At 38.9% G+C, this 22,057-nt stretch overlaps 3 protein-coding genes across 75 annotated transcripts in view, besides 4 other annotated features; 2 read left to right on the forward strand and 1 right to left on the reverse strand.

The window, feature by feature from the left end:
* Window positions 1-3,737, forward strand: part of ATP2C1 (ATPase secretory pathway Ca2+ transporting 1) — a 166,118-nt gene extending 162,381 nt beyond the window's left edge. For all 16 annotated transcript variants that reach the window (NM_001378511.1, NM_001199180.2, XM_047447960.1 and 13 more), the window contains one exon: window positions 3,177-3,737. In NM_001378511.1, coding sequence (NP_001365440.1) covers window positions 3,177-3,272 — 96 coding nt within the window. In that variant the 3' untranslated portion in view covers window positions 3,273-3,737. The remainder of the gene's footprint in view (window positions 1-3,176) is intronic.
* Window positions 900-13,850, reverse strand: ASTE1 (asteroid structure-specific endonuclease 1). Of its 5 annotated transcripts, none has more exons than NR_110229.2 (7): window positions 13,532-13,850; window positions 12,499-12,619; window positions 11,030-12,356; window positions 5,531-5,741; window positions 4,015-4,074; window positions 3,169-3,364; window positions 900-1,412 (listed from the first exon to the last, which is right to left on the reverse strand). NR_110229.2 is itself a non-coding variant. In NM_001288950.2 (7 exons), the coding sequence occupies exons 3-7, from the start codon at window positions 12,329-12,331 to the stop codon at window positions 1,082-1,084; spliced, it is 2,115 nt and encodes a 704-aa protein (NP_001275879.1). In that variant the 5' UTR covers window positions 12,332-12,356; window positions 12,499-12,619; window positions 13,757-13,850; the 3' UTR covers window positions 900-1,081. The 5 variants fall into 5 exon arrangements, 4 of the variants coding, with proteins under 4 accessions (NP_001275879.1, NP_054784.2, XP_024309254.1 ...); NM_001288950.2 differs by lacking the exon at window positions 4,015-4,074 and adding an exon at window positions 2,207-2,281 and having other exon boundaries at window positions 13,757-13,850; NM_014065.4 differs by lacking the exon at window positions 4,015-4,074.
* Window positions 7,256-7,365: a silencer, noted in NCBI's record as "silent region_14736". NCBI's record gives its function as "represses an Ori minimal core promoter by ATAC-STARR-seq in GM12878 lymphoblastoid cells {active_cell/tissue: GM12878}" and the evidence as "EXISTENCE:reporter gene assay evidence [ECO:0000049][PMID:35858748]".
* Window positions 13,502-13,741: an enhancer, noted in NCBI's record as "active region_20527". NCBI's record gives its function as "activates an Ori minimal core promoter by ATAC-STARR-seq in GM12878 lymphoblastoid cells {active_cell/tissue: GM12878}" and the evidence as "EXISTENCE:reporter gene assay evidence [ECO:0000049][PMID:35858748]".
* Window positions 13,882-13,941: an enhancer, noted in NCBI's record as "active region_20528". NCBI's record gives its function as "activates an Ori minimal core promoter by ATAC-STARR-seq in GM12878 lymphoblastoid cells {active_cell/tissue: GM12878}" and the evidence as "EXISTENCE:reporter gene assay evidence [ECO:0000049][PMID:35858748]".
* The window catches only part of NEK11 (NIMA related kinase 11), a 323,589-nt gene continuing 315,433 nt past the window's right edge, over window positions 13,902-22,057 (forward strand). For 21 of the 54 annotated variants that reach the window (XR_001740271.2, NM_001353048.2, XM_017007208.2 and 18 more), the window contains exons 1-2: window positions 13,902-14,031; window positions 16,638-16,903. Coding sequence is in view for 42 of the 54 variants with exons in the window: in XM_017007208.2 (XP_016862697.1) it covers window positions 16,734-16,903 (170 nt within the window). In the remaining 12 variants the exon portion in view is untranslated. The other 33 variants (NM_001353033.2, NM_001353040.2, NM_001353041.2 and 30 more) reach the window with 8 other exon arrangements.
* Window positions 14,022-14,211: an enhancer, noted in NCBI's record as "active region_20529". NCBI's record gives its function as "activates an Ori minimal core promoter by ATAC-STARR-seq in GM12878 lymphoblastoid cells {active_cell/tissue: GM12878}" and the evidence as "EXISTENCE:reporter gene assay evidence [ECO:0000049][PMID:35858748]".

A 22,057-nucleotide genomic window follows, 5' to 3' on the forward strand; every position in this document is an offset into this window, starting at 1 on the left:
AGCTTTAAAGCTACCTTTAGGGCTATTCCTGATGGAATATACCAGTGGGAGAGTACAGAAGGAAGAACACAATTTGTATGAATACAAGTAAAATGAAGGTTGAGTATATTTTCAGATCTTGCCCAATGCATTTATTCTACTTGGTTCTCTTTATTTTCAAGTTCTCATTTGGAACTGGCCGGCACTTTCAGAACTCTGGGTATTTCTAATTTTAGCAGCCTCTATTTGGCAGTATTTTCCAGAGCAGTACCTTTTAAACTTCTTCCCTACAGTCCACAGTAAGGAATATATTTTACACAATCACCTAATACATGATATGTATATCTGATATTTTCCATTCTAACTTTTTCATTAAAAAATGCTGGGTATGACTCATTAAATACTTTCACATCTCATTAATGGGTCAAAATCTGTAGTATAAAGAGGGCATAGGGTCTGGTATTGCTGCATATATCTCTTGATATTTTCACTTCTCACTGTTTCCTCCTTCTCCAGGTCTAACAGCTCAGGATGCTGTTTCTTATTTGGCTGAAGCCATTAGTTTCAACTTCTCCTTTAAAACCTGGAGTGCACCTAAAGTGCTCTTCAATCCTGTCATGGTCTCATTGACTAAGTACTTACTTTTAGTAGAGACAGTTTTCTGTCTGGCATCCTCACTTCTAACTTTCATTGGCCAGACTTCATACTAAAGTACAAAGAGGAAACTGTTTTTAAAACTTTTTGAAATGATAACCAGCTGCTACTTAAAGGCAATAATTGAGTGAGACTTCTACTTTCTGAGAATGTAGCTGGCTAAATTGCTGCAATTTAAAGCATATAGACTATATTACCATTAACTTGCTGAAATGGAACATGAGAAGTATAAACATGGTTTCAAACATATTTAGAAATACAGAAGCTTCTTAAATCAGGTTGTATTTATTAAAAACAAAATACAAAATAACTTGGAATTCAGATTATTGTGATGTTTATCCCCTAACAGGTCAGTCCTAAAGAAAAAGCTAATTGTTTCAAGGGTGGTAACGGAAGAATTTTAAGTAAGGATTATATTAAATACATCTAGTTTGATGCAAACTGAGTTTTATTCAATGTTGGAGGCCTCACTATGTTCCTCTAAGTTTTCAACCATTAACAACCCAAACCGGTTGTTTCCCTCATACCAACACTTGGTGTGTGCAGTGGTTCTCCCTCTGTTCTTAGAACAGCTGGTATTCTGTTTCTTCTGCCTTTTTTTTTTTGAATTTGATCTACCTTTTGGTAGGAATATTTCAGCGGGGGCATATGACCTTGTGGCATTGAATAGATATTCATAAAGTTGCTTAGCCTCAGGACATATGCTCAGGAGACTTTCTACAGAGGTCGATGCTAGCAGTTGCTGGCATAGTCCGTGCACCAGGCTTCCACTGTACAGTCTGTTCAAAGCAAGAAAAAAGTATGTTGTTAAAGAAGTAATTCAGTGCAACAGGATAACTACCATTGACATAGCTTCAACAAATGCATCTAAACAATGAGAGCTCTTATTGCTCTATAATATTATCGAAATTACTTAAGAATAATCTGTTCTTTGAAGGAAGGAACTGAGCTGGTATGACAAAGATTCTTTGCTGGTGATACTTAAAAACTTTTCATCAACAAATTACGTGATGCATGCTTAGTGGTTTTGCAGCTAGCCCCAGACTGAGCAGGTGTCTTTAACAAACACTTTAATTTTAAAGAAAAGGAATTTAAAAGGACCCTGATAAACCAAACAGGCAGTTTGTTAGAATATGAGAAAATTTATTGGCATCATTTGCAAGGTCATTCACTGAGACTAAAAACCTACTTCACAAATAGAAGATGGGATTAATTGGAATCCACAAGTTTATTATGGACAAAGCTGATAAACTGGTACCTTAGCAATCCATGTAGAACCATCATTTAATCAGTGTAACATCTCTGTGTAAAAAGCCTTGGTTATGCTAAGATTCAAGAACAATCCTGCTGTTTAAATCATTATTAAGAGAACTGTTTTGTTTTGCATTTCCTGTTTTGTTTTAAAAGGATTTGTGGTAACTAAAGAGGATCCAGTCAAGAATGGCCTTAAATTATTAAACGAAAGAAATAAAGAATCCAGGGGTCAAAGGCCAATTAGTCTTATTTGTGTTAGCTCAGATATAAGGCCCAGAGATATATTAACAACACTGTTTACTGCCAGGAGGCTTTTTACCTTGAAACATGTAAAGTCCCACCATATTTTGTATGCGTCCATATATCCTCATTCAAAGTATTGAAGGCACTGGGGCTGCAACAGCAAATAAAATAGACAAGCCCCTCCCCCCACAGAGTTTACATCTGAGTGGAGAGACAAACAAAACACAATCTATCTCCTTTTTATCTTCATCTCTCCCTCAAGTACCTCCTGGATGGTCAATTACCAAGATGTCCAATCCATTGATCCTATCACTTTTTTCACTGCTCCACACCCTACTGCTGCTGTCACTTCTTTTTATCATACCCAGCTTAAACTCCACAGACAAACATTATAATTACTCTGTGGCACATAGGCTCAACTCCCTTATTGTCCTTCTTGCCTGGTAAAGCAAACATCCTAGGTTAAGTTCACTTGGGCATCTACTCATCATCTCACTTAGAATGAAAGCTCCATTAGAGCTGAGATTCTGTTTTTGTCCCTACACCCTAGCACAGGGTAGGCATTTAATATCTGAATGAATGAGTAAGCCATATGCCAAGTGGTAAGAAATGCAATTAAAAAAAAATAGAGTAACAGGACTAGAGTGAATGAGGGTAGACAGTGTGTCTCACTAGGGTGGGTTATCAGAAAAAGGCTCTACAAAGTGACATTTAAAGACTGAGAGGAAAGGAGAGAGTTGTATCCTACCAATGATTGCCTCCCCTCTCCCACATATTAATGTATTACTTAAAGGAACTGATTTTTTAAAATTGGATTGAATCATGGAAACATTCTTTGAGAATATGGAAATAATTTAATATTTTTCCCGTTTCCAGCTCTTCAGCTGTAACAGTGACTCAAAATCAATTACATTAAGATTAGTTTTTTTTTGTTTTGGTTTTTTTTTTTAAGTAACTTTGTTGCTTTAAATATAAGTGAAAATACTGTATTTACTTTTGTGTGCTTCCATCTGAACTAAAGTTTCCCATGGTGCTTACCGAGTTAGGTCTGGCTCTGGGAGAGGAGTGGACAGCAGCTGGTTGAGATACATCCCCATCTGGAGACAGGACTGCCACTGACAGAAGATGTGAGCTGTGTCTAAGTCCAGTCTTGTGCCCAGCCGTGTCTGCGCCTTCACTCTTTGGAACTCTGCATACAACATCTTAGCACCATCTTCCTGCAGCTCTTCCTTACCTAAATAAAGAAACAGCCCAAGGGCAGTATTTCTAAAAGCACTGTAACAGCTTTTCATTTTCTCCACATATACTACAAATTCTATAAAGAAAGAAATTAATTTAAAAAAACTAAGATGTTTTTCTCTTCTGGCTTCATAAATGCCTTGCTGTATAAATTGAAATATTGATACTGAACTGTCTTTTTAATGATGACCTAACTTTATTCAACCCATCGGAATTTACTTTTTCCCTGAAATAAGATCTTTTCCACTGGTCTACTACCTGACCATAAACATGTCTGCATTTGAATTCTCTAAACCCTAAATCTGTGTCTATGAAAAATACAAATGACTATTAAATATTATTCTCTTTACTGTTCTCTTTCACCGAAACTCCCAAGCTGTGGTGCATTTGTGTTAAAGAAACAACCTGTGTGTTCAAAACACATTTTGACCTCTGTGTTTTATAGGAGGAAGCTAAAGTATGACTTGGAGAATTTGGCAAATAATCATTTTCTTTTCATAGTAGAGGATAAGGGGCAAGAAGCAACAATCCTAGGAAATAAGGAATGTTGTGTGTTTTTAGCTGTAAGTTTCTACAGATTTGTTTGGGCAGGGGTGCACAAAATAACATCTGGACCAATTTGAAAATAATAAAAAGGAGGCCCACCTTTTACCAACTAGCGAGGAGCAAGACACTGAGCCTGCCTGGGTACAGGGTCCACATTTCCTAAAAGAAAAGAAACAGACCCTTGACATGCCCCTTCTCTTGGACTCAGGTAAAAACTTAATAGGCTTGTGCTCTGAGAGCTTTCTTATACTGTATTTATTATTCAATCAGAGGAAATACTCTAAACCTGTGTTCATAAAGCAGCAGTGGGACTTAACTGATTTGTTTTGTGTTAAGTTGGCTGTCATATAACAACAGTCCCTCTGACAGCTGTCAAGCTTGAGCCTTAATACTTTAGAAACAGGAATCCATGCTGTTTCATTCTTTTATCTAACTTATTAAAATAGTAAACTAGAGTAGCACGATCTAATAGAACTTTCTGCAGTGCTGTCCAATACAGTAGGCTAGCCTATAGCCATATGTAACTACCTGACACTTGAAGTGTGGCTAGTGTGACTGAAAAGCTGAATTTTTAATTTAAATGGAATTTAACTTTGGCCATGTGTGGCTAGTAGCCACCATATTAGATAGTACTATTCCAGAGTATAATTATTATGCATGTTTATACAGTGTTAGAGCATTCATAATCTTTAAAGAGGATATTCCACTGAAGTATTAAAGTGTCCCAGTGTTTCAGCATTTACTTCACCTGGTATTATATGCAGATGAACTTGCCTCAGTGTATTTAAGAGATATTACTGGCCGGGCGCGGTGGCTCATGCTTGTAATCCCAGCACTTTGGGAGGCTGAGGCGGGTGGATCACAAGGTCAGGAGTTCAAGACCAGCCTGGCCAAGATGGTGAAAACCCGTCTCTACTAAAAATACAAAAATTAGCTGGGCGCGGTGACAGGCACCTGTAATCCCAGCTACTCGGAAGGCTGAGGCAGAAGAATCACTGGAACCCAGGTGGCAGAGGCTGCAGTGAGCCAAGATTGCACCACTGCACTCCAGCCTAGGCAACAGAGTGAGACTCCATCTCAAAAAAAAAAAAAAAAAAAAAAAAAAAGGACAAATTACTATTTCTGCCATCACTACTTACATACTAATTGAAACCTACAGCAGAGAAAAAGGAATAAAAAGATGTATAAGCAAGAATGTAGTGGTTGTAGGTATTTAGATAAGTTTCACTTCTGGGCAAGTTTCTTGTGATGACGTTGCTGCTGTGCTAATAACTGGATAGGTAACATGGAATACAAAATGCAGCTGGCAAAATACACTGTCACAATTCACAAGTTAAAGGAGTAGGTGCCACCAAACAGATGGAAGTTGGCAGTACCCCAACACATCTCACTGCTGTATACTTAAGATTCAAGCCCTCCAGCACTGAGCCTGGCACATGAAGTGTTAAAAAATATTTACCAATGAATGAATGATATTTTGGTGCCTCCACATCTAAGTTGTGATACAATTAATGGGAGTAAATAATCCAAGAATACTTTTTTGTTTGTGTAAACTCGAGTAAACAGTTTGCAAGCAACATGCCACAATATACTCCTGTAATTTCCAGTTACCTACCAGGGCTGTTGATTATGGCAATCAAGGGCCCCACTAGCATTGTGAGCAGTAAGGATTGTAGATGATGTAGCTTTGCTTTGGTCTCGGTGTGCTGCAACCAGTAGCAACTGACAGCAATGGGCAACTTCAGTGAAGTAGGGATTGGCTCCAGAATGGTCTGTTTCACCTTCAGGGTTTCTAACAGAAGCATCTGCCGCCTCCTCAAGGAGAGCTGAAAATACACACCAAGTATCCTGCAAGTTACTTTGGGAAATGTCTGTTATTTCTTTTTTCCACCATAGCATGAAGAGATTTAATGCTACTGAAACTTCTGTCAGCTGTTAAACTTATCTTCTTGTGGGAAAAAAAATCAGCCACACTCACAGCATTTAGAACATTAATAAGATGCTTTATAAATATGGTTGGTTGAATGGGTGTACTGCCTACTCCTACACCTTTACTTATGTCATTCCATCCTCTTTGTATACGCTGGTGAGCATCTTCAGTGCACGTCACCTGGGAAGCTCATTAAAAATTCAATCCTTAGGCCCTACTCCATAAATTTTGATTGACTAATCTGAGAGAGAGCCCAGGAGGAATATACATTTTAACTAGCAGCCCAAGTATTCTACTTTGAGAAACAAAGCTGTATACTCAACACCACCTGTATGTGCCTGTGCAACAGGCATTTGCCTTCAGCATGATGCCATTACTAATTGCCTCCAGAAGACAAACGTTGCTTTTAGGAACCCTATGTGGCATATACTCTATTTGTTTGGGTCCTGTCTCATGTCCCTTCCCTGTTGAATGCTTTATTGTCTTTGCATAAAAGACACACAGGGATTGTCCCAGGGTGGCTGCTTGTAGATTAGAGGTATATTCAAGGGAGATAGGAATATTTTAAGGACTACTTGCATTGTGCTTGGAGTAACACGCCATACTTTTACTTCATGGTTTAGCGTGTACTTCAAATAAAAGCTCAGAAGTAAAACAGCTATAAGAGCACTGAGGTTCTTGTTGAAATAATTTTACCTTAATGAATTACCAAGACCTTGTAAGAACCAGAATGGGGACCTTACAGGTCATGCACTCAGGAATATTAAAAGGTCATCTTCTGGGGGACTTTATAATCAAACTTTAAGAAAAAGAAAAGTTGTATTCCTAGTGTCTGCACACAGCCAGAAAAAGATTTTCTGCTTTCTGGAAAGTTGAGATGGTAATAACATTTCTCAGCATGTAACATCTAGTTAGTAGAAAGAGTGGTTGACAGCTGAGACTAAAGATATTAACCTGAAACAAAACACATCATAAATGACAAAATAGTTTTATCATTAATGCATGAAAACTTTAAATAGTACGATTATTTCTAAATACTGCTTTTAATAATATTGTGATACAAATTTTAAAATTAGAAATATGCAAAGAACTTTATAGTATAACCAATTACCCCTACTGGAAGTAGTTTTAACTACTTAAATTTTAAGTAAAGTGGAAACTAAACTCTTAAACTGGTTTTTAAAATGCACTAAGTAGAGCTAAGAAAATACACCAACTCTTTTCTGATATATATTTAAATTACTGAATTATAGAGCCAAGTTACAACTTTTCATAAACAAAGCAGTCTGGGCTTTGACTTCAGAGATGTTCCGCTCTGCACTAACCCTATGGCTTTGGTCGAAAGGTTTCTGACCTTTTCTACAGTCTGTCTGACTTATCTGTAAAATGGTCATTATAATGACTTGTATAAGATGTTTCATCAAACCCACCAGTCCACAGTCCCTTCCAAAAGGGGAAGTACTCAACTCACAGCCCTTAACGTTAGTTAGGTTTTATCCCATGTGACAACTACTTTCCCTCTTCCCCAGGGGGAGCGAAAGCACAAGCCTGCAGAAGCAGCTGCCCCGAGAGGCAGAGATGCCCAGAGAGAGACTGGTCTTGGCTGCCTTACTCCTTAAGAATGATCCACTTTTGTGTCTCCTTATGATTAACCTCCCATTGGTTAACTTGAATGGTGCTCTGTCCATTGCAACTAACATAACCAAAATGAAACCCTATCCCATGTGGTTATTGTGGGAATTAAATGAGAGACTATAAAGTTTTTATTAACAACAGCTGGCCAAAGCAGATAATGTATTACAAGATCTAAAAAACAAAATGAATAGGTACTATCACAAGGTTTCTATACTTGTACTTGCATTTGTGTTTGGAATCACATGAGCACCTGGTACATTTATAATTTTCAGGGGCTAATTAGAACCATTAGCACTGAGCTAAATTCAGAATTGATAAGTTTATGCCAAGAGAAAGCTGGGTGATAGCAGAGCGCAGAGAATGAACTAAAATTTCACTCTATTTTGAATCCAGGTAAATGATGAGAACACTTAAGTCATCTCTACTTAGCAAGGAATATAAGCAGCCTGCTATACTCATGGATTCAGTTGGATTTCCATGTGGGGGGAAAAGGTATCCTGATCCCTATTTCACACCATACGCACCCACAAAAAACCAATTCTAGATACATTATAGATCTAAATGTGAACAGCAAAAAAACATTTTCATGACCGTGGAGTAGGCAGTTTCCTAAGCAGTTCACAAAAGTGGTAACCATAAATAATAAAAATTTAAATTAGAGTATATTAAGAACTTCTGTTCATCAAAACATACTAAAGAGTGAATAAACAATGGGAGAGACTATTCACAATATGTTATTTGACAAAGGACCCGTATATGATAAAAATGAGCAAAAAACTGTACAGAAACTTCATATAATAGAGTATCACATGGCTAATGAACACATGGAAATGGAAGATTGGAAAGAACCCAAATGCTCATAAGCTGTGTAATGAAAAAAAATGTTCTTAAGTGTATAATGGTAATATACCAAAATAGAAAAATGTTACAGCAATGAGAAATGAATGATCAACTACTCACAGCAATGTGAATGAATCTCATGTGGAATAAAAGCCAGATGAAAGAATTCATTTCTAAAGTAATAATTCAGTTAAAACTATTGTGTTGTTAAACAGGAGAGTGATTATAGAGAGTTGCAGAGCGAGTGACTGGAACCAGACACTAGGAGAAGCTTCTAGGGTGGCGATAATGATTCATCTGGATCTTCTTTGCATGGATGTATAGACCTTGCAAAAATTTATCATGCTGTACGATTATTTGGGCACTTTACTGTGTTTATACTCAAGGAAGCATGAATTGCAAAGGAACAAGATGAAACTTTAGGGGTTATGGATACATTGATTATTTTAATTGTAGGATGACTTCACAGATGTAGACATCTCAAAACTCATCAAAGTACACACTTTATGTGCACTTTACTGTACACTACTTATTTCTCAGTAAAGCCATTACATTTTTTTTAAAAAACTCCCCAACAGCACCATTTATGCTTGAGTAGAAATGTAATTTCAGCAAAACATTAATAATGTAGCTAGTTTGAATTTTATTGGTGTGGGTAAAGTTTTAATAAATCCCTTGTTTGAGACTGACTTACGCTCCACTTTCTAGTTTTGTACCCCTGGAAATGTGCTAAAGGTAGATTGTCAGTTGTGTTACCAAGCATTATAAAAATGACTTATAAAATTGCATCTAAGCTTAAACTATATATAAATGAACTATAAACACCTGATGGGGACACCATATCTTGGGGCTTCCCTGAGTGCAGTGTCTTGTAAGTAGGATGTCCCTTGCAGGGACCTAGCTATGTTTATGGAATTATTATAAGAAAGACTGGATCCTATAGGGAACGGGGCTTTTAAGCTACTGAAACCTTTTCTTCTCCTTTATCTAACTGAGGTATAATTCATATGTCATAAAAGTCATCCTTTTAAAGCATACAATTCAGTGGGTTTAGTGTATATATATTTTTAGAGACAGGGTTTTGCTCAACAGGGAGCACAATCATAGCTCACTACAGGCTTGACCTCCTGGGCTCGAGCAATCCTCCAACCTCAGCCTCTTGAGTAGCTGTACCACCATGCCTGGCAAAAAATTTTTTTTTTTTTTTTTAGTAGAGACAGTCTTGTTGTGTTGCCCAGGCTGGTCTTGAACTACTGGCCTCAAGTGATCCTCCCACTTTGGCCTTCCAAAGTGCTGGGCTTACAGGCATGAGCCATCTTGCCTTGGTTTAGTATATTTATAAACTTGTGCAGCCATCACTAATTCCAAAACATTTTCTTCACCCCCAACCAAAGAAACCCTGGGGGTTTAACAGTCACTCGCCAATGCCAAGAAGGCTCTTGGACTCACTGCCCAATGCCAAGAAGGCTCTTGCACTCATTCACTATGACATTCATCTCCTCCTGTCTGAGATGTGACTGAAGAGGAGGCTAAGAGGCTAGTTCCTGGTCAGCTGTATAGCCCAGGGAATGGCACTACTGATATTTTGGGCTAGAGATTCTTTGTTATGGGACACTTTCCTGTGCACTGTAAGACTTACAGGTTGTAAAATTTAGCAGCATCTTTGGCCTCTCCCCACTAGATACCGATAGCAACCACTACCCCTTCTACTCCCTAGGTAGGGACAACAAAAATGTCTCCAGGCATTGCCAGATGTCCTCTGGGGGACAAAATCACCAATGGTGATAAAGCTTTGGTGTAGACTGATAACAGTGCTGGGAGAACTCTGACAGAAAAGGAAGACCTGACTTAAATCCACTGGGAAGCTGTGGTTGCCGTCCTACATCCTTAAGTAGACTGGTGCCACGTGTGGTCTGTGAGTTTTGTGAGACTGAATATTTCATTGGATCTAAGAAGATCCCCTAATGGGCATTGCAATTGTTTTTTTTTTAAGTTATCTCTATTTAATGTCTAAATCTAGTTCTTTTATCAGCATAGTTTCATATCTATTTGTAATTTTAAATATATATGTAATATAAAAAGACAACACTGGGATCCATGAGAATTTTTTTCTCCTTGAAAAGGTGGTCTGGGTGTTACTCAGGTTTAAGCAACACTAAGTTAGACTAAGAGTCATGTTTTCTGTATCAAACTAGGCAAATAACCATAATGACACAAAAACCTATTTTAAAAAAGGTATTCATTAATAAAAGTTAAAAAATTAGACCTTAGCATCAGTACTAACCTTATCTGAAATCCGATGTAGTCTGAGATGTTGTGCCTATGATTAGTGTCTATACACTTTTTTTGCAGTTGTGAATTTTTTTCCTTTTTTTTTCAGCCACGTAACCCATTCTATTGATAGCTAGTATTAACCTGGTAGTAATAACAATATAGTAGTAATAACTGTGACGATAACACAGACTACTGAAGTACAGTGGAAATGGTAGATTTAGAGCTAAAAGAGCTAGGTTTGAGTCCTAGCACTGACACTTTCTGGCTAAGACATTACCTAGTTCACTCAAGTTCTAGATTTCTTAGCTACGACATGAGGGCAAGATAGCACTCAACCTCATCAGTTTGTTATAGTAAGTGAACTAATATAGAAGACAGCACTTTGTATCCTGTAAAGTACTTTACAAAAATTTCATTAGTATTACAAATACTTACCTCAGTCAATCTGCTTAAGTCAGAATGATCCTTGGCCAGTTCTACTGCATCAATGATTGAGGTTCTGATATTTTTATTAATCCTTTCCACTTCACTGAAAGCTAGAGGCTGAGGAGGCAATGCATTCCAGGATGTCTTGTCCAGATGTGGTGAGGCATTTAAAAGAAGCCCATAGATGATTTGCCTGATGGGCTGAGATATTCTGTGGGCATTTGGTTGCTGCATGTTTTCCACCTGTGTGGGAAGAATGGTCCGTCTTAGGACCAAAGCATCACTGATGAAAGGAGATAGCTGGCCTTTAGCTAAAGCCACTAATACCCATTCTGGTAAACCAAGATTCAAGGCATCTGGACAGACATAAGTACCACACTGGAAGAAGTCCTGTAGCTTCACCTGGGACTGTTGGTATTCTTCCATGGAACAGCAGAGAAGTTCCTTAACATTTTCTCGATCCTTTTTTGGGAGGTATTTCAGAACATTATCTAGTGCTTCGGTAGGGTTGGCAAAATGAGACAACCAATTCAGAAGTCCCAGGATTCGGTGGTGTCTCCTCCCTTTAGAACTGGTAGCTCCAAGAGGAAGACGCGCTTTACTTAAGAATGTCTCCATGATGGGTAGATTAACATGGTCATTTCCACATAGCACCGCAAAGAGAGGTAGTAGAGCTTTATTCATATTGCTGAAGTGATGGCAGAATGCATCAAGGGAAAAGCATTTGGCAGGGATATAGTTTTGTGTGCCCTTAATAGTGTTCATATTTCTCCACTGAAAGCTATTCAATGGGCAAAACCCAGTTTTCAGGTCAAAAATGCAAAAGTCACTATCTGATGATAACACAGGGCAATTCCAATGGTTAGCAAGTGTCATAATGTCCCGATCTGCTTCTGAAAAGCACTGGACAAAACACACCCGCAGCTTGATCAAAACCTGTATGAATACTTCCCGGATGAGTAAGGGACATACGTACCCACTCCCACCAACAGAAAGGGAATGGGCCATCTGGATCTTCTCTCTAGCTCTATCCTTTAAAGTTGTAAGCTTTTTATCTGAAATGTCACATCCTCCATCTAATACAACATATGGGCATATATTACAAGCAAACAGTGATTCAAAGAATTTTTGTACAACATCTGCAAAAGAATCATAGTCCCCTCCATACCGGAGATCCAAGTTTGAACTGAAGCAAAGACGGTGGAAAAGAGCATAACCATCAATGACAATTTTTGTGTCCCGCAACTTCAAATCAGTGAAGAACTCATTACTATGATCTTCCACAAAACTCATTAGTCCTCGGATACCCATGATGACAGTCTAAAGAATTAATCGCCTGTTTAAAACAACAGAAAACATTTTCAATTGATGCTAGTTATGGGGCACCAAGTCATTGCTTCCAGCACCATTAAATCAATAGCAAATGTTATGAAGTGCTCTTTAGATAGAACATAGATATCAACATCATAAATTCTTACCTAGATCCTCAAGCAATGTTAGCTGTGCTTTTTCATTCTCCTTTGCTTTCTGATACAAGGCACAAATTCAATGGTTTCATGGGTTGTAATCTTTGGATGGTGACAGAGGCTGCTGCTAATTCTAAAGAAAAATCAGTTGAAGTCCATTACTGACACACCAGTATAGAAGTTCTGTGAACTTTGATTCTTAAGTGGTAATAGTCAACATCTTACAGCACAGAGTATTTGTTTTGTGGGGTCAAAGTAAAAAGTCCTAAGCTAAAAAAAAGATATCATATTCATCTCATAATCACAAAGCATTTGGGCTTCAGTAAAGTAAGGTGTGTAGGACCTATGATAAGGATCAAGTTTTTCTTTTGTATTGACAATCAGTCACGGAACTTCTTTCAGGCTTTGGATTTGTGGGCCCTTCTTAATTGGCATAGTTTTTGGTATAAGGAAAACTGCTTCATGCCTCTAGGAACCCCTCTATCCAGTTACACCCCTAACCACGAGCTCTTTTCATCATCTTATTTTGCATATCTGGCCCAGCTACGCTTCCTCACCTGGCTAACTTAACTCGCAGGATCAGAATTGATGGTTTTTCTTTTGACACCTCGGGCTTCAATATGGCACAGCACGGTACTGTTACTATTACTTAAAATCGTGACATTTTGTCAGTCATGGATTTTTTTTGCTATAATTTTGATTTTTAGAGATTGCATTAAAACTTACCTTGATTACTGAATTTTATTGGCATCCATTTACATTTTACACTTATCTCACCCTAGTTCCAGCCCTGTCAGTATCTCAGAACCTTATCCTGTATAGTACTTATTTCTTTGCAAGATAGTTTTGTAAAGCGTCCATAAGCAGAGACTGTGTCAAGGCGTCCTACGCAAATTACAGGACCTTGCACAGACAGTTGCATAGAGCTGCATAGGGGAAAGGCGGGCAAAAGGTCTGACCTAAGTCTTCAAACACAGGCCTTCATACACCGTGCCACCTCGGCCCTCACAACCCGCCGCCCGGACCTGCAGCAGAGCCCACCTACTCTGTCCTCCCAGAGGAGTAGCTCCTCCATCAGAAGCCCGCTAGAGCCCAGCGAGGACTGGCTCCTGCACGTGAGAGTCCAATCTCAAGAGCGGGAATCGGAAGTCTCCCGGTGTGACGTCTCTGGGAAGTACAGTTCCGTGATGCCGGTGGCGCCAGACTGAGCCAAGGAGCAGGTGTTCTCGGGCCCAGAGGCGCTAAGTAGCTAAAGAGGGCTGGGACGTACGTTCCGAAATGGCTGCTGTCAGGCTAGGAAAGCTTGGCCCGCCGGTCCTCCTCTGCTTTCTCCGCCTACTTGGGTCGGCGAACACTTCCGCCTTGGTGCCGCCTCGCCCCGACTTCCCAGTATGCCCCGCGCCGTCTCCCTGGCCACGGTTCCAAACAGCCGTGGCCCGCGGTGTCTGGCGCTCGGTGGGTGTGGTTGCCCCTAGTTTGAGGCCTGCCCGATTACCCGCAAGACTTGGGCAGCCCCGGGCGCCGCTCCGACCACGACAGGGAAAGGTAAAGCGAACTGTCCTCCTTGGGGCTAGCCAGGCTCCCCTGCGAGGGGGAAGGTAATGGTTTCAAGCTGCCCGGGCTGGGTTCCGAATCTCTAGGACGCCATGGCTGCGATCTCCTCGCTTTCCTGGACATCTTACCTCCGGATGTACTCCAGTCTCAGTGCCCCTCAATAAACGTTAACCTGCTTTGCCAAAATGTAAATGTTTAAAAAGGTGAAGAAGCAAGGAATTGTTCGTTTTACCTTAAGGTTAAGATTTACTTTAAAGGTAGATTTGTGCTGTAGCAGAAACTGGTGACAAATTGCCTTCCTCTTATTACCTGGGAAGATAACTACTGGTTTTCAACTTGTGATAAATACTCCTTCCGTTGTCTTTTGCCCCCAGCCAGATCTGTTTCACCGAGAACGGGTAGTTTGCACAAGGTAGTAACTTTCTCCAAGTTCCCATCTAGCTTTCTTAACTAACCTTTTTTCTCTCCTTTGGGCGGCAGTTGATCTGCTGGACACTTACTTGCCTTAACAAGGTTTGTTAAACACCTAGTATATGCCAGGAGGTATGCCAGGGATTGGGGATGCAGAAATAAAGAAGATGTGTTCGCAGTGCCCAAGTTCACTCAAACCTCGAGGGGGAGCGTGTTGTCAAGTGAACAGATAGTTCTAGAATCTAGACAATGCGACACATTCTTGGGTAGGTTTATGGTTGCGCAGAGGAGACTAATGGAATGGATGACCTAAAAGTGGACTGGGATGGGGGTGGCAGGGCTGAGTCTGTGAGGGTGGGCGGGAGGGAACCTAGTCCCAGAGTCTTCTGCAGCCTGGACCAGACTACTTAAGCACTGCTGGGTTTAGACTGTCCTTTAAAATAAGAGCCGCTAGAAGTGAACTTCTCATTCTGTCCGTCCCTAATTCTGTCCTTCTCTAAAAGGAACCTTAATCTCATCTTTAAAATAAGGAGAATTACTGAGTGACCTGAAGGACCCTTTTCAGCTGGAAAGTCTGTAAGTCCATATATTTATTTGAACAGCTTAGTATGGCCAGACGGCATCACTTTTATGACAGTGAAGGGGAAGTAAAAACAAAAGGTATATTTAGAGGCCTGCTCTGTAGTTGTTTTTCCAGCAGATTTTACTAACGTGTCTTTGGAAGGGAAAAGAAAAAGCTGGTAACTAATCTCACTGGTATTAGGTACAACTTAACTGATTCATACATTTTAAGAAGGAAAATGTTGTAAATGGGCATTTACTTATGTTCTGTTTTGAGGATTTTTGTGGTTAATTGCCCTAGTAGTTTTTGTGGTTGACGGACACCACCACGTAAAGCCCATTGACCATCCTTAAAAACTAGGTTTTTGTCTCATAGCTTTGGAATTGTTGAATATGAAAACCTAACTTCAAGGTGTAGGCAGTTTTCAATTTAAAATGTTATTTCTATATAGATTTAAAACAAAAGCACACTTTTCTTGATAACTAACAAAACATTTAACATTCTGATGAAATAAAAGTGATTTTACTTTGTACCTACTCATATGAAACAGTCCTGCCTTTCTTTTTTTTGTTTTTGTTTTTGTTTTTGTTTTTGTTGAGATGGAGTCTTACTCTGTCGCCCAGGCTGGAGTGCAGTGGCGAGATCTCACTGCAAGCTCCGCCTCCTGGGTTCACGCTATTCTCCTGCCTCAGCCTCCCGAGTAGCTGGGACTGCAGGCGCCCGCTACAATGCCCGGCTAATTTTTTTGTATTAGACGGGGTTTCACCGTGTTAGCCAGGATGGTCTCGATCTCCTGACCTCGTGATCCGCCCGCCTTGGCCTCCCAAAGTGCTGGTACTACAGGCGTGAGCCACTGCGCCCGGCCTAAACAGTCCTGCCTTTCATAACTGCCACGTCTCATAGCTCCCTGAGGAATTACAGATTTATCTGTAGCATTTATATTCCACTGACATTAAATGGGATTTTAGGTTTGAATTGAATTTGTAACTCTTCCTGTTTTTAATCCAGAGAGATTATACACAATGTGTACAATAGGAACTTCAGAAACTAGAATTTGCTGAGCATGGGAAAAAATTCTCAATCCTTATCCTTCTTTGCATCTGTCCTAATAAATACAAAAACTGTGGTTTAACATCTACAGAAAAAAATAAATCTAAAGGAAACAGCACCTGCTAATTCCTTGTTTAATCCTAACTCACTCTTTGTAAACCAAAGTAAATATAAGGTGAGAAGAGGGCATTACAAAAAGGTTGATGCAGATGTATAGATTTAAGGAGGTGATAATGTTCTTGTATTTGGATTCTTTTATAAGTAGTTGGGGAGTATAAATCTTAAATAAATGAAGAGATTGCTCATTGTAAAACAGATGTACATCCCAGAAATTTGTGGAAAGTTGGCTATAATTCACTTCTGCCAAATTTCAATGTACAAAGGGAGGCTCTTCCTGTGAAAGATTGCCTTCTGGAATTTGTGGTATCTCTACCTTTTAACATTTTTTTTCAAGTTGTTAACCAATATGGTGTCAGTCTGCTGATCAAGGTGCAGATATCACTGCACTTAACACTTTTTGTTAGACATCGTTTAGCAACCTTTAGACCTGATCTTTTAACTTTTCATCTTTAAGGAACTGACCAACACTGGATGAATTTGACCATTTCTTAGGAGACTGGAATGTTAAGTTTCTATAAATGAATGAACCAGTTCTCTCTTGTTTGGAGCAATGCTGAAATTCCAAGAGGCAGCTAAGTGTGTGAGTGGATCAACAGCCATTTCCACTTATCCAAAGACCTTGATTGCAAGAAGATACGTGCTTCAACAAAAACTTGGCAGTGGAAGTTTTGGAACTGTCTATCTGGTTTCAGACAAGAAAGCCAAACGAGGAGAGGAATTGTAAGTAAAAATGCTTCCTATGAATCTTGAGTAGGCTGCTTTTTGTTTGCAGGTCTTAGCTGATTAGGAACATGGAGCAGGCCAGGTATGGTGGCTCATGCCTGTAATCCCAGCACTGTGGGTGGCCAAGGTTGGCAGATCACTTGAGGCGAGGAGTTCAAGACCAGCCTGGCCAACATGGCAAAACCCTGTCTCTACTAAAAATACAAAAATTAGCCAGGCAGGGTGGTACATGCCTGTGATCTCAGCTACTTGGAGGTTGAGGCACAAGAATTGCTTAAACCCAGGAGGTGGAGGTTGCAGTGAGCCGAGATCATGCCACTGCCCTCCAGCCTGGGCAACAGAGCAAGACTGACAAAAAAAAAAAAAGAACATGGAGTAATGTCCACTTTGCTCTTTATACCAAAGCAAGTATTTCATAAATATAGGTAAGCTCCCTAATTAATCTTTCATATTAGGTTTAAAGGCATTTCAGCAGGTGAATAAAGTATCCAAATGACCTAAAGAAGGGAGCTAGAAATGGGATAGATTATGTGAAAATAAGATGTTTGGGCATGCCACAGTCTCAGTGACAATATTACTTCCACTTAACTTGATTGGAACTTCTTGAATGAGAAAATAAGAATTGTTCATAATGACTATTTTTAGAAATGTTACAAAATGCAAATAAACAATTATTCACATTTGAGATGAATAGGGTATACCAAAGAAAGTAACAGTATTAATTTTCTTTGGGCTTTCCATGGCGAGGATTTTCAAATTCCGTAGTCAGAAAGCTGTCAGATTAAACACTTAAACCAAATGGACACTCCTATTTAAAATTAGCTTATGTTAATGACCCCCTTGTCACCTCGTCTCTTTTGATTATGATCGGACCCTCTACACTTTCATAGTAGAGAAAAACTCTTAATAGCTTCAGACAGTACCTCCCTTACAGATAAACCTCTAGTTTTTGTGTAAAGTTTTTTTAATTTGCTGCAGTGGAAAGTAAGTTGGAACTGAAGTTAGGGTAAGAAACTTGCCTATCAGAAACACAGGAGGAACAGAAAGCAGAAGGAAGAATGATCCAAGATATCAGCCCTTAACCCCAGAAGACCACATTTTCATCCCATAATATATTGTTTTCTTCTAAGGTTTTAAGGCTACTCTAAGTTCTTCCAGCTTTTGCCTATTGGATATTTAAGAGTGGATTTAAAATCAGTGTGATAAACACTTTTCTACATCTTCATAGGTCATAGGAATTGTAAAGGTAAATGTTAGTGATGTTACTACTTTGTTTTAAAACTCAATCTTTTAAATGGTCTCTGTCCAGAATTTTTAAAAGCTGTAATTATCTAGAATTTATAGTTTTTAGTCAATTTCTACATGAGGGATGATAAAAGAGCTGGCATTTTTCTGATGTCCTTAGAACATGCATTATGATTCCTGCTGAAAAGGATTTTTTCTCTTTAATCCTAGAGGTGCTCTTCTAGCCATTTAGAATAGAATGATAAATTTCTGACAATTATTAGATAACCTTTATGGAAACATTGAGAGTAAGACCTAAACCAGACCCAGTACTTCTAAAAACTACACTGTAGGATCATATCCAATTTTGGTTTCTTCAACTAATGAGGAATATGAAAAATTTTAAGATAATTCACAGGAGGACTAAAAAGTTAATTAAAAGGATGTAAAATAAGATGTATGAAGATCAAACTTGAAACCTTTAGACTTAAGATAATAAGTGAGTGGAGAGAGTGTGTTTGTAGTCAGCGGGGAAGAGAGAGAGAAAGAGAATGAGAGAGAAGAAAGGGGGCTGGGGCTGGTTGGTTGGCAAGTGATTTGTTAGTGATCTTTCTTGTACCTGAACCAATCTTAAAAAAACACATGACTGGAGCTGAAGATGGCAGACATGTTTGTGGAATGAATCCAGTGGTGAGGATAACGGACAAAAATCATTTGGCACCAGAAGGTCTAGTCCACAATCTCTGGGAAAGGAATCATTCATCATCAGAATCTAAAACATATTGCATACTGGCCACATGTGGCTTTCAGATGTCTTTTGTTTGGCCTGGGTAGTGTTTCTTTTTAGTAAATTAATCAGTTTTTTTTTTTTTTTGAGGCGGAGTCTCACTCTGTCTCCCAGGCTGAAGTGCAGTGGCACGATCTTGGCTCACTGCAACCTCCACCTCCCAGGTTCAAGTGATTCTCCCACCTCAGCCTCCCAAGTAGCTGGGATTACAGGCATGCACCACCACACCTGGCTAATTTTTGTATTTTTAGTAGAGACAGGGTTTCACCATGTTGGCCAGGCTGGTCTTGAACTCCTGACCTCAGGTGATCCTCTTGCCTTGGCCTCCCAAAGTGCTGAGATTACAGGCGTGAGCCATCGCGCCTGGCCAGTAGTCAGTATTTTTAAATGAGCAGCTCATATAAATTGAGCATTTCATCTTTTCTAGAAAAAAAAGATTTGGGAACGTTTGCTAACATCAGTTCCTGTGTAGCCACAATGGACTGCTAAAGCTAGGCAGCAGCTACTCCCTTAGACAAATTCCATATTCTCCAGTTAGCCACATTCCTACCTCTCCTTACTGTCTCTGGCATACAGCTGCATCACACCTTTCCACTACGTGCCGACCTTTGTAGACAATTGCTTTTGGAATTATTTGCTAAAATCAGAAAAAAGTATGAATGTGACTACTCACAAAATTCTAGAATGCTGTAATAGAAACAGAGCAGTATGGTGTCATTGTTAAAATCCCAGCTTTGGATGTGAACAAAAAGTAAAGCCAGGCCTGTTCTTAATGTGAAGTCTACATTCTGTACATTCCTAATCTGAGCTTTGGTTTTCTTATCTTTAAAATGAGTATAATACCTCATAGGATTGTAATAAGAATACGATATCTGCCTATTTATATAAGATTTAGATGTCACATTGCCTTGCTCATAATTATTCCTCAAAAACAGCACAGATTCACCTTAATTATAAACAATCCAAGTTAAAAGAATAATTAAAGGAAGCCTAAGAAAACTTTAGCTAATTACCACCCAATGACTGCAATTGGAAACTTCTAATAAATGGAAGGTTTTTCTGGATTACTTTTAAATGAGAAAAATTTCCCAAATAAACCAATCTGAAACCAGGCATGTAATTTAAAAAACTTATTCAAGATGTGTCTTGAGATTGTAACAATTCTGTTGTCATCTTTTATATCTCTGTGGCTGTCCAAAATAAATTGGTTCTCAGAATGTGAACCTTTTAGCTAAGATATCAATTCATCAGTGATTGTTATGTTTAATGCATATATGAGGCAGGAAACTAAACTCTTTTTTTTTTGTGTTGATACTGAACCATTAGTTTGTGAGCAAAGCACATTATTAGCACTACTCATTGTCCAAGCAATTTGACTAGATAAGGTTTTAAATTATGCTTTACATACTAGACCACAAACATAAGGAATTGGTTAATGTTAGAGGTGGCTAGAAGATGAATACTTTATACAGACTTCTATAATGGTATGAATGCTATTCCTTCAACACATCAGAATAGATATGACTTCCCTTTTTGTTTTGCAGATACACCCTTAACTTTTTGAGCTCATAAGGAAGGTATCAGACTATCCCTTGGTATCAGTGTTAAAGGAATGACAATAAGTTTGTAGGACTTATGACTAGTTTCTATGAAATACAGATTCATTATATACATTTCTATATTTAATCAAAGAACTTGACAAAATGGAACAGCTGTATGTACATAGTACTTAACTTTTCCGTCAAAGTATTGCAATTTATCATTATGCCACTTGGGGGCATCACTTTACCATTGACATTTTGCATACAGGGTGACCTTTAATTACAATGTAAATACCATATTCCTTTACATTTTTATTCACTTTCTGAATTAGCTGTGAGATTAAAATAAAACCTACAGTACAGACATTACACTTGCTTGATGCATGTTTGGAGAGTTTTCTTCCTGGCATAAATATTGGGCATCCCTTTTTTCATTATCACAGTAGAATAAAATTAAACTGTTAAAATGTATGGTGAATGAGATAGAGGTTTTTCCTTTATTATGCATCATGAAATTCATAAAACAATATTTGAGAATATTTTCTTTCATAATTATAGACACTCTAGTCTAATTATGTTGTCATAGTCCTAAAAAGATTGTGCTAGTTCTTATTCATTTTATTTTATAGTATTGTTAAATTGTCAAAGTATCTTTTCAAAAAATCAAACCCAAAAGATTTGATCAGCCCAGAAATTACTTTGGCCCTTAACATTAGCATAGTGCATGTAATTTAATAGAAAAGAGATATTAAGGAAATAGGTTTACCCTAAAATACATGATTAAACTTGTAATTAATCATGGCCACAGCTACAGTGAATTTCAACATTCATCTTATCAGCATAGAATGTTGGTTATAATGATTTTTAAAAAATTTATCACATTTAAGATATAGTGATCTTACTATGCAGAGTTGATTTTATGCTGTTGTCTGTTTTAGTCTGTCAACTATGAAGTATTTAATACAATTTAAATTTTTTTTTTTTGAGTCGGAGTCTCGATTTGTCACCCAGGCTGGAGTGCAGTGGCGCGATCTTGGCTCACTGCAAGCTCCGCCTCCCGGCTTCACGCCATTCTCCTGCCTCAGCCTCCCGAGTAGCTGGGACTACAGGCGCCCGCCACCACACCCGGCTAATTTTTTGTATTTTTAGTAGAGATGGGGTTTCACCGTGGTCTCGATCTCCTGACCTTGTGATCCACTTGCCTGGGCCTCCCAAAGTGCTGGGATTACAGGCGTGAGCCACCGCGCCCGGCCACAATTTAAATATTAGACCTTTGCTTTGGACTCAGCACGAGAGAGGAAACTGAAGCAGTAGGAGATAAGGCCTAGCCTTCAGGTGCTTCCAGTCCGGAAGACTATATCAACACACATAAAACAACTAGTATACAGTACAAGACAATGCTTAAGTATCTGTGTGGCAGGTTGCACTCGGAGATGTTGGAGTGGCTACTCCCTTTCCAACTCAATATTATCTTACTTGTTTCTGTGTACTATCTAACTTATGTGTATTTTCCCCTTGGTCCTATCCAAGTGCGTATCCAAATATTTTACCCCTTAACTGTGATCGTACACCTTGGTCTTTGTCTAAATATGGGAAAAA

The sequence above is a fragment of the Homo sapiens genome, chromosome 3, assembly GCF_000001405.40.
Source record: "Homo sapiens chromosome 3, GRCh38.p14 Primary Assembly".
Taxonomy (NCBI): domain Eukaryota; kingdom Metazoa; phylum Chordata; class Mammalia; order Primates; family Hominidae; genus Homo; species Homo sapiens.